At 46.0% G+C, this 11602-nt stretch overlaps 3 annotated features.

Moving 5' to 3' along the window:
- Positions 3037-4236: an enhancer, noted in NCBI's record as "CDK7 strongly-dependent group 2 enhancer chr11:115856308-115857507 (GRCh37/hg19 assembly coordinates)". NCBI's record gives its function as "activates an origin of replication core promoter dependent on BRD2, BRD4, P300/CBP, MED14 and CDK7 cofactors, with strong dependence on CDK7, by STARR-seq in HCT116 cells {active_cell/tissue: HCT116}" and the evidence as "EXISTENCE:reporter gene assay evidence [ECO:0000049][PMID:35650434]".
- Positions 8832-9331: an enhancer, noted in NCBI's record as "H3K4me1 hESC enhancer chr11:115851213-115851712 (GRCh37/hg19 assembly coordinates)". NCBI's record gives its function as "activates a minimal SCP1, AML or CMV promoter by ChIP-STARR-seq in naive H9 embryonic stem cells {active_cell/tissue: H9 hESC(naive)}" and the evidence as "EXISTENCE:reporter gene assay evidence [ECO:0000049][PMID:30033119]".
- Positions 9332-9833: an enhancer, noted in NCBI's record as "H3K4me1 hESC enhancer chr11:115850711-115851212 (GRCh37/hg19 assembly coordinates)". NCBI's record gives its function as "activates a minimal SCP1, AML or CMV promoter by ChIP-STARR-seq in naive H9 embryonic stem cells {active_cell/tissue: H9 hESC(naive)}" and the evidence as "EXISTENCE:reporter gene assay evidence [ECO:0000049][PMID:30033119]".

The raw sequence follows: 11602 nt of genomic DNA, 5'->3' as shown, positions 1-11602 counted from the left end.
CCTCTTTCTGCTAGATATTCAGCCCACGCATGACAAAGACTTTGGCAAAATGCTAGCAATCAGAAACCTGCTCTTCATAGACATAAAAGAGTCGGGACATAGGTCTCCCCAATAATGATAGTCTACATGCATTAGCATATATTTTCTTGAGAAGTGAACTACCAGAGTTAAGTCCCTAAAAGCAATTCATTCTATTTACAGCTTTTCTGAAGCCCTCGAGAGGGAATCATCTTGGAGCACTGCAGATACCACACTGAAAATAGTGAAAAACATTCAATTTAGAAACAATTTTATCTTGATTTATCTTTTTTTTTTTTCTTTGTGAGTCAGCCCACTGCTTCTGCTCCTTCTCTTACCTAAAGGTGGTTCCCTGCATACCTCCTCCCCAGGTCATGAGGACAGGGATGGTGGTGTATTCCCACAGTGTGGCCAGGGTGGCCAAGAACGATACCCGATCTTGCCTCCTGGTGGGAACGCCTCATTCTCAGAACTGCAGAAGGATGAAGAGGGAGCCGGAAAACAGAAGCTGCACCAGGTGCAGCAGCAGCACTGTTGCTTGCTACAATACACAGATTATTCTCCAGGAGGTAACTACAGCTCTTTAAAACACTGACAATGTGAATGTCATGTCCTATTACCCCATCCTCTGGGCTAATAATAAGATTTTGTAACCATGTCAACAGCAAGAGAAAGAGAGCAGCAAAGTATCCCTTTGATTACATAAAATGCCCAGGTACCTAGTACAGCCTTGTAAATCACTCAGCTCACAGGTATGTGCTGCCTAAAAAAGGCATGAGGTGAGGTCAGGCCTTGCATCTCCAGCAAAGCCAAGGGTGCACCTGCAATCAAGGCTAGGTAAGTAGTAAGCACCTACTGTGTGCCCACAACCATGTTCGGAATCAGAAGCAAACAGAGAAGGGCCAGGTGCAGTGGCTCATGCCTGTAATTCCAGCACTTTGGGAGGCTGAGGCGGGTGGATCACTTGAGACTAGGAGTTCAAGACAAGCCTAGGCAACCTGGCGAAACCCCATCTCTACAAAAAATACAAAAATCAGCCGGGCATTGTGGTGCATTCCTATAGTCCCCGCTACTTGGGAGGCTGAGGCAGGAAGATTGCTTGAACCGCAGAGACAGAGGTTGCAATGAGCTGAGATCGTACCATTTGTACCACTCCAGACTGGGTGACTCCATAAAAAAAAAAAAAAAAAGAAAAGAAAGAAAAAAAAAGAAAAGCAAGCAAGCAAGCAAGAAAACCAGATAAATAAGTAATAAAAATTCAGTTTCTGCTTCTGAGAGAAGTTAACAATTAGGTTAGAGATAAGCCCAAGTGTGGGTTGTAAATACACTGGATTTAGACTCAAAAGACAGAAATCGAGATTCTCCTTCTTCCCTTAGCTGTGTGCTCTTGATGAGACAGTTTATCTCCCTGAGCTTCGGGCTCCTCAGCTGCAAAATGTGGGTGATAATACCTAGTCCTACAAGCCTCACAAACTTCTCATGAGGATGAAATAAAAAATGTAGTTTCTAAATCAATAGTGCAATCCCTTTTAAAACAGAAAAAAATTGTGTGTGAAACTCTAAAATGAAACACAGATCAAGAGCTGAGCTGCTGTAGTTAGAGGGGGCAGGGACATAAGCATGAGGCTTATGTCCTGAGGGTGAGCCACCTCCTGGCCCTGGGGGCACCCAGGAGTACCCTATAGCTCTGAGCAGCATAACGTGAGGACCAGAGAGGAAATGCTTTGAAATAATGTATTATTATAATTATCAAGAATAATACAAACTGGCCATTCATGGAGGTAATTGTAGAAATGGAGAGAAGGGAGAGATCAATGTGAGCTTCAGTGCTTAAATAGTAGTAGGACCCATGCTGCTCCTTAAAGAATAGCAAGCATCTGGGTAGACAGAGAGGAGTAGGGAGAGGATTCCAGTCGGGGCATGGATGTGAGCAATGGCATGGACACAAGATGAGAACTCATGTGTGCTCTTCAGGCACAAAGAAAGAGCCAACCTTGTGAGAGCAGAGCCTGTGTGTACTGTGGTAGTGAGGTGTGGATGTGCTTAAGGCTGACATCTTTAGGGTCAACGTGATTCACATTGGGACCCCACAGGCAGGTACTATGGGAAGACTGAACCAGGTAGGAGCAGGCTGGTGGGTGTCTGATTTTATTGTAGCTAGGCTAATTCATTGGCTTGAACTCCACCTGTTTATTGGAGTCAAGTTTCCTTCATCAAGGGCCATTTACTCTACTAATGATGATCCTTTGCTTTGGATTCTGTGATTCCTAATTGCCGTCTCACAGCTCTCCATGTGTTCTGCTCCCCTCTGTCACTAACTGATGTAGATGGAGGTGTTCACCCCCAGCCTCTATGGAAGCATCCCCCTGAGAGTCCGTTTACTCAAAATTTCAAGCCTTCCTATACCCCCCATGGGGCACACCCACTGAGGTGCCTCTTTAGGTCCTTGTGTCCCTGGGAAGGGCTGTCCAGCCCAGCCTTCTCTGCTGAATCCCCTCAGTCCCCAAGGATGACTGATCTTCTCTGCTTGTCTCAGAACACCTTGTTGTCTTGTCCTCTTTGAAATGCCTGACGGCAGCAAATGCTTGGGTCTAAAAGCAAAATAATGAAATCAAATGAAAGCTCCCCAATTTCTCAACCGCTTGTCCTTTGTCCGGTGTGGTGCACGGCATGCATTATTCAGAGAGAAGCAGCTGTATTACCTGAAGCAGAAATTCTATTTTTCAGGCGCCAGTCTGGAGGGATGGCTGGAGTGGAGTTGATGGCCCTGCCCAGGAGCCTGGGAGTGCTTGGGGGCGGAGGAGAGTCCAGCTTTTGCATTGCATTTGAGGAGGTCATCAAAGTAGCTGCCTAGTCAAGAGAAAGGTCACTTTAGTAAGTGAGCCCAGTTTGAGAGAAGGGAAGCCCAGACAGGCCAGGCATCTATGAAGGGAGCCAGCAGGAAAGATTACAGGAGAAAGCATGCAGACTGTCTGGATGAAGGGGCTCCTAGTTGTTCAGAAGACTTCCAGATATATGACCTGTGCTGCAAATCATCCCCCACAAATACATCAAATACATGAAGATAATATTAATAGGACATAGAATATCTTCTAAATAAGAATGCTATGAAAATCCATGTGGGTGTGTATGGAGTGAGAAGGACAGGGTCAGATTCACGGTCGTGGATTGTACTGTTGTTCTAGAATATTCACTTTTTCCCCTTGAGAGCATTGTGCATCCATGCGGCTTCCCTGTGGCTTGCGGTGGCCTTTAGAAAATGGAGTATATAGCCGGGTGCAGAGCCTCATGGCTGTAACCTCAGCACTTTGGGAAGCCAAGGTGGGTGGATTATGAGGTCAGGAGATCGAGACCATCCTGGCCAACATGATGAAACCCCATCTCTACTAAAATACAAAAATTAGCCAGGCATGGTGGTGGGTGCCTGTAATCCCAGCTACTCAGGAGGCTGAGGCAGGGGAATCGCTTGAACCTGGGAGGCGGATGTTGCAGTGAGCCGAGATCACGCCACTGCACTCCAGCCTGGCGACAGAGCAAGACTCCATCTGAAACAAACAAACAAGAAAATGGATTATATTCTATGCCCCCACCTCCTGCCCCTGTGTGCCAGCTCCCCACACCCCCATCAAGCTTGGCCATGTGACTCACTTGGATTCATGGAATATGAGTCAGTTCAGAAGATACAAGGAGTACAGCGTGTTCGGTCAGTTCTCTTGCTCAGTTCTATTGTCAGATCGGCAGGTCCCAAATTAGGGGCTGCCCTTTCAGCCTAAGTCCCTGAATGAGAAGACTCATGAAGCACATCTGCAGCTGCCAACACGCTCTGTGAACAAGAAATAAATGCTTGTAAGATATAAGCCGCTAAGATTTTAGGGGTTGTTTGTTACCATAGCAAAACTGGCTAATATAGTTAATGTCAATCAATGATGAGGAAATTAATCACATCTGCCTTCAGTTAAGCTTTTTTAAACTTGATTTGTTTATTTAATTGATTGTTGTCATCTTCACTTGGGGTGAATAGCATTGATAAATAAGAGGGTCTGTTTGCTTTAATGAATCCATGGGAGAGTGTTGTTGATTTTTATAGACTCCATATATTAGAATTTGACAAGTCCTATGGCTGGGCCTCTAGCTGGGTTTCCCTTCATTAGTGGTTGACGAGGTCTAAACGTAGCATAGACTTGGCCATTTTCTGCCCTCAACCTGTGGAGAACACATTCCCACAAGCCCTTCCCTGGAATCCTACCTACTTTGTGTGGACAGCCTTCTTCAGCTCCAATTCAGTGACTATTTAATTAAGCCCTCAGTATGCCCTGGGTCTTGGGAGTGTATCTCCATTATCTTATTTGGTCCTCCCAACTATAATAATAGGTGTTATTGTTGCCGTAGTTCATTTAGGTTGCTATAACACAATGCCATTGATTGGGTAGCTTATAAACAACAAAATATATTTATCAAAGTTCTGAAGTCTGGAAGTCTAACATCAGGGCAGATTTGGGGTGTGGGGAAGGCTCGTTTCCTGCTTCATAGATGGCGCCTTCTTGTTGTGAACTCACGTGGCAGAAGGGGCTATCCAACTTATTGGGGATTCTTTTGCAAGGGCACTAATGGCAATCATAAGGGCTCTACTCTCATAACTTCATCACCCCCCAAGGGCCCCATCTCCTAATACCATCCCCTTGGGAGCTCACATTTCAACATGTGAATTTTGGAGGGACATGAATATTCAGGCCATAGCAATTGTTACATAGCTTTTGAAGAAATCAAGGGTCCCAAGGGTCACCCAAGGGCACAAAGCTGGTAAAGGGAGATCAAGACTTTGACCTAGGTTTCTTTATTCTTAGCCTAGCGCTGTCATCACCACACCAAGCTACATGGATTGAAGGTGTTCTGTGTCAGCTTAGCATCTAGGATCAAATTTGCCAAAGGCTCGGGGACATGGGTTCATGGGCTTGTGGTAGGAAGGTGGAGTGGAAGACAAGACCCTTTGTACTTTATACATTTATATTACAATATATATTTTATTGCCCAGCATAAATTCATTTAAATTCTATTCCTAGGACAGGCAGTCCAACAAGCTATGAGACTGAACTCTAGGTAGGTCCTACCTTTTTGGGTGGGACTTCTGTGTCCTCTTGGAAGAAAAGCATTAGTGAAATTAAAAATAGATACCTCTGGAAGACAGCCAGTCTCCAGGGGGACTGTAATCTTTGAAGAACATTCCCACTCTCAATTCTCTGAGAGTGGCAAGGGTGTTGTATTAACAACAACAACAACAACAATAACAGAACAATAGCTTCAGTGTCAACAGATATTTTACAACATGCTTTCATATAAATTGCCCGTCTGCTGCTTGAGAAGGCCACCAAGAGCCGCTGTTGTGTCACCAGGCTGTTGACTGCCATCTGTCTGGGGCTCAAGGATTCCAGGAGCAATGATATTGGACCCCCCCTACTGCTGGGGTACAGATAGGCAGAGGCAAAGAGGCAGGCAATAAAGAGGTGAGCTTGTCCTTGCATTCTTGTTTGGAAGGATTGAAAGATCCTCTCCATGAGCCTAAAAGAAGAGTGTTGGGTGGAAGACTCTATCAGTACAAATATCACTAAGGCCTGGGTATTAGAGGCTTGCTCTCGACATACTGGTGACGATGTGCTGGTTCTATTGCATGAAGTCAGAGACACCTTATGCTGACCCCAGGACTCCTCCAGCCCCTCTCAGATAGAAATCAGTGGGCGGGGGGGGGGGGGGCAGGCCTAGCAGGACTTCATGGAGTCATCTCATGTCTCTCTTGCCTCCAAAAAAATAAAACGTCTCCTCGATAGGCTGGGAAGCCCAGCAGCAACTGAAGAGGCCTTTCCCTGTCCCTTGTACCATCAATTGACTGAACTATAGATTTGCCCTGGCTTCTTATAGGGACTTAGGGAGAAAAAGCAGTAGTTCTCGGTTTACCTGTATATGACTCTCATACAATTTCAGCTCTTGGGAAGGTTTTGTGGGATCCATTATTTTCTCCCCAGCCAGCTGAATTACAAACCCATCTCCTTTAGGACAAAGGGGTCCCAGCAAGAGAGTGTGGATGACCCAGCACACGCTCAAGTTCATCACTAACACACAGCCAACACACAGCCATGGGATGCAAGTAACATCTATCTGAGAAGGGTCAGCATGTTCCCTGGAGTCTGGCCTCAGGTCCTGCAAAGGGAAGGGTTTGGGAATGGACTTTGGAACAGCCAGATCTCCCCACTCAGTGCAAATGAGAGAAAAAGGGGTGGAACATCTTGCTCTTCCTGGGAACTTTCTGAATTGAAGCACACAGCCTGGAATGTTCCCCTAGAGCGGTGCTGAGGTCCTAAAGAAATGCATGGGTCCTACTGACTGTGTGCTAGCCCCTCTCCTTGGTTTTTCTGGACTGGGGGCCCACCCTGTCCCCTTGTGCTAGGTTCTGAGTACATCTCCTTCTAAGCTTTGTTACCCTGACATCTGCATTCTGGCTCACCACTGCAGACTAACATGGCCAACAGAAATGAGGCACACTCTTGAAGAGTTATGATTCTTTCTTTGTGTAAGCTGCTTTGAGATCAAGCAGAGAATCACACATAGACCTGGTTTGTGAGTGTCTCACACTCTGAAAGCCTCAGGCTCTGAATCCTAATCCCTTTCCTTTCCACCCTCTTGTTTCCCTGGAATCCTGGGGAGTAAACAGGTAGCTGCCTGTTATACTGTCCCCTCGGGCCTGCTCCCCCTGGGGAACCCCAGCTCTGCCATACCCCAAGCCTCAAGCTCTCTTCTGAGGGTTTCTTATGCATGGGTCTCTGTGCCAAACCCACGCCAGGCCTAACCTATCCTCTCACGATAGCTACGGAACCAGGAGGAGGCCTCAGACCCCAGGGTAGCCAATTTCCAGCCTGCCAGTGGTCTGTGTGGTGGTCAGGCTTTTAAACCTTCCCAGTGAGTGGTGGCCAGTCCCAGATGGTGACTAGCCACATCTGTTGTACTCTCCCTCAGAAGTCTGAATGTAAGAGGTACAGAGATTTGGCTGCTGAGCTCCTTGGTGATGGTAGAAGCCAGAGAAGCAAACGCTGAGAGTTGCCAGGCTCTTCTGTGGAGGGATTCTAGGTCAGGGGCAAGGCCTGCTGCTGGGGGCATGATCTGCTGACCTTGTCTCAAAAGCTGGTTGGCCCCTGAGCGGCTCCCAGGCCTGTCTTTTCATCAGGCTGCATTCCTGTGTTCTTGCAACAATCTCAGCAGCCTGAGTATATTTATTTTTTCTTGAACCTAAAACTCACACAGAAAGCATCGTTGAGAAACCTGGATTTAGAAGGAAGAGCAAAAACAACTCATCAGAGCTTTCTTGGGCTCTCGCCAGTCTACTACTTTTTTGTGCCCCCTATGACATAATCTGGAGCCTGTCTGAGCAACCCATCTGGGTCAGGTTGAGGGGTGCCTCTGGCCCTGCCTTGAAAGCAATGATCTGTGGGAGGTTTGGAGGACAGCAGGGGAAGAGGCCTTGCCCCTGCTGTTGTGTAGCAGCTCCAGGAGAGGTCAGAGAAGGCCAGTAGGGTGGGAAGGGCTCCAATCCAAGAAGATGTCCCTTTCCCCTTCTCCAGCCACTCCAAGCAGAGGAAGGGGAGAGGTGGGAGAGCAAAGTGAGGATGGTGAGAGTTGTGGTGTGGGCTGGGGGCGAGTGTGGTGGATGGGAGAAGGGAATAGGATTGCAACGTCCCCAGGTCTCTGGCTCTTGGCTTGGGCCCAGTCAGACAGTGGGGAGATGCATTGAGTGGGTGCTCAATGTCTGGGCTGTTCTTCTTGCCTCTAATTTTGGCTTCTAGTCTGATGTCCTCACTTCACCCTCTCTGCAGCCAGAGCTGAGTCTCCCACTCCCCTGGGAAGAAAGGAGCTTTGTCTGCCCAGAAGTCTAGCATGCACAGCAAATGGAGAGGCAGGAGTTCTGCAGCCCACCTCTTTCAGGAAGCTTTCTCTGCTTAATTGTAACAGCACGCTCTTTATTCTAAGTTGTACCACCAGGGAATGTGAGTTGGACTGCCCGACCAGGAGGACAGGAGCCCTGTCAGACTTGCTTAGTGACTATCCTGAATGCTTAACACAATGTTTAGTCCAGGGAAGGGACTCACTAAATACTCAAGGAAGGAAGAAAGGAAGAAATAGTTTCTTTTTTAAAGCCAAAGCGTTTTTATTTTAAATAAAATAATACACAACTTCCAGTACGTACAGGTAGATAGCAATGAACTGTGATGAAGGGATGGGAGAGGGTCCATGACTCTGCATCTGGGCTCCCTTTGTTTCCCTGCAACTGTCTCTAAGGAATCTCTGCATCCTTTGAAATTCAGAGCCAACCCCACCCATTTTCCAAATAAAGAAACTGAGGTACCCAAAGGAAAAGTGGCCTGTCTAAGCCAGAACAGGCACCCAGGCTATTGTATATGTGCTCTGTGGAGACAATGAGTTCACACATGGTAGGTGCAGGAAGCGTTGGATGAATGAAGCATTGGAGGGAGGCGGCAGGAGAGGGGGAGTTGTTGATTCCCAGGCTGTGTGGGCCTGGAAAGAGTCATGAGCAACACCCGTGAGGAAGGATGCTGCACCAGAATCAAATGTATTGTATTTAAATATTCCCCAAGTCATTTTGTGTATTTAAGTCTTAATTCATCTCCTCTAAATCTCTCCAGCTACATTAATGTGATGACTTTGACAGAAAGATGAATAACATTATTAAAGAAGCTTGTGAGCAAATTTCACTCATAAAAATCTCTCATCCACTCACGTGCTCTGCAATGCCCACTCCATGTTTGTTTCTGTTGACTTCCCAAGTGTCTGCTGAGCTGGGCCTCAGGTTGCCGGAGGAAGTACGTGGGAGGGTCAGAGGAGGGAGGAGGATGCATTTCACACCCACTCTTAAATCTTTCCCTTTCGTTAAGAAAATAAATACATCATTTGAACCAAGAGTCTCCAGGAGTGCCAAGATTCAGGCTGAAGAGAAGGAGAAGGCAATGCAGAGCCTGCTTCAAGAAAAACCTCCAGTGGGTGCACAGAATGGGAAGCACAAACAGCAAGTGACTAGGGAGGGTGTCCTCCTCGGTGACCCACGACTCAGGACAGGAGGGACCCTAGCTACAAAGTCATCTTCTGGGGATTCCTCCCAACTGACGCTTTTCAAAATGCTGGCACAGGCCCAGCTGGAGACAGCTCTGGAAGCTGCCATCACATCCTGTTCCTCCTCCCAGAGCCCTGCTTGGCCTCGCTGGCTAGGGATTTATGCCCCTCTTTGCCAAGCCGCCCTGATGAATTGCTTCCAGGATGGCAGCGAAGTCAATGGTATTCATCTCACCGACGTCTTAACCTTCTCCTTTAAATCATTGCTCATGTTGGCAGCCGTTTGTTCGCTCCTGACAGCCTGGCCTGGGCCTGGCTGCTCCATTAATGAGACTCCCAGCCAGAGAAGAGCCTGCAGGGCTTGGCAGGGGCTAGAGGAGCCTCTGCAACCTTCTCCTCGAATGCCATCCCTTCTTTACCTGGCCAAGCTTCCATTTGGTCACCTGGAGTCGGGGAATCTAACCTTAGAGCCCCAAAGGATCCTCCTGTCAGGCACACCTCTCACCTATCACTTACCATATTATTTAAAAAGTATCTGTTGATATTACCAGGCTATTAGCGCTTCTAGGCCATGGACGTGCATGCTTCCTCTCAGTATTCCCAATGCCTAGTGGAGTGGCTGGCTCATAATAGGTACTCAGTGGCTATTTGGTAAACAAACTGTTTAAATTGTGGAGTGGATACAACTTCTTTGGAAAACTACTTGGCAGTCTCTGCTGAAGCTAACGATACCTATGCTGTATGACTCACTGGAGTTTATATCCAACAAAAAGTGCTTGTGTCTACCAAAGACATGTACAAGAATGTTCATGGCAACCTTATTCCTATAGGCCTAAACTAAAAATTGCCCAAATGTCTATCAACAGTAAAATAGGCAAATAAATTACAGGCATGTTTATTCAATGATTCGATTGCATTTGCGTTAATGCAGCAATGAAAAAGGACAAAGTACTATTCATACAATATGGATGAATTTAACATTTAAAATGTCAAACAAAAGATGGCAGATACAAAAGAGTATGTAGTGTATGATTACATTTATATGAAATTCCAAGACATGCAAAAGTTATCTATGATAATTAGAGGTCAGAATGGTTATCTTGGAGGTGGTGGTTATTGACTGGGAGGAGATATGAGGAAGCCCTCTAGGGTATTGGAAATGTTCTAAATTTTGATCTGGGTGGTAGTTATACAGGTGTATACATATGTACTAAATTCACTGGGCTATACACTTATTACCTGTTTACTTTACTGCATGTAAGTTAAACCTTATTAAAAATGGTTAAGAAAATCTGAAATGGTTCTCAATCATTTTGTAATCTGCGCCTCAATGTAATCTCACACTACTGCATATCTAAAACCAGACAAAACTGTTACATTGAGTTGTTTCTATGTTTTAGATTATGAAAACAATTGATATATTGCGTGTGCATTTTTTTACTCAAGAGAATGCCCTCTAGAAATTTTAAACATATCGCTCCCCACTTCCCAACACCCTGAGTACAAATCATCACATTCGAGAATATTTACTTCTTAGCACAAAAGAGACTCATTGCTTCCCAAGACCATGTCTCATTACAGTGAGATTGTAGGTACTAAGAAGAATTAGTAGCTCATAAAGATACGGGAGTTGGGAGGGGTAGGAAGCTGTCATAGTGGAGAAGCAAAGAGGGTTTGTGTCCAAGAACCTCAGCATCCTTAAGAGGTCTGAATTCAAGGTCTTTCCCAAGAAGAGCAAGGGGTATAGAACATCCCTTACCTTATCTCAGCTTAGTTCCCTGAAAACTAAGCCGTGTGCCTTGTGAATTCAGATGCTACTGGATATACATGGGGCTGACAGCTTGAACCACTGCAATCAGTTTGGGTGAAGACAGGAGCTATGAGGGAACAAAGGTATCAAAGCCAGGTCCAAAGACAAGGGCTGGCACTCAGGAATGGTAATAAATGGAGCAACAGAGCTGCCAACAGCTCCTTGGCCTTAAAGCTTCAGCCTGGGTGCAAAATTCAAAAATCTCAAGAAAGAGACCTGATTGGCCCAGATTGAGTCAGTTGACTGTCTCTAGACCTATCTAGGCTGAGACCAGAGAGGAAGACCCAGTATTTTAAATGACTGCTCCTGCATTTAACATGGGGACGGTGGATGCTAGGTGCTATTGAATGAGCAGTGTCCTTAAGGCAGGGCTGGTCAGAGACAATACAATAAATACCCTTTATAAGAAACCTAGAAAGCAAGTGGTTCTTTCTTCAATCTACAGTTGTAGGCAGAATCGGATAAACATTATTTTCTCCTAACACTGTGACCATAAGATACCTATACTTGGTTGATGTAACCTATATATTAACTTCTGTTACGGTGAGAGTTTGTTCATAGTTTGACCTTGTTTTGTTTCCTAGTTCTTCAGTCTGTCTGCCATTTGGCACCCTGGTACCTCAATCTTGTTATTTTGACAATTTCTTGCCTGGATCCAGCATT

This window comes from Homo sapiens, chromosome 11 (genome assembly GCF_000001405.40).
Source record: "Homo sapiens chromosome 11, GRCh38.p14 Primary Assembly".
NCBI classification, from domain to species: Eukaryota; Metazoa; Chordata; class Mammalia; order Primates; family Hominidae; genus Homo; species Homo sapiens.
The sequence above is the reverse complement of the archived record's forward strand: the minus strand, read 5'-3'. Positions and strand labels throughout refer to the sequence as shown.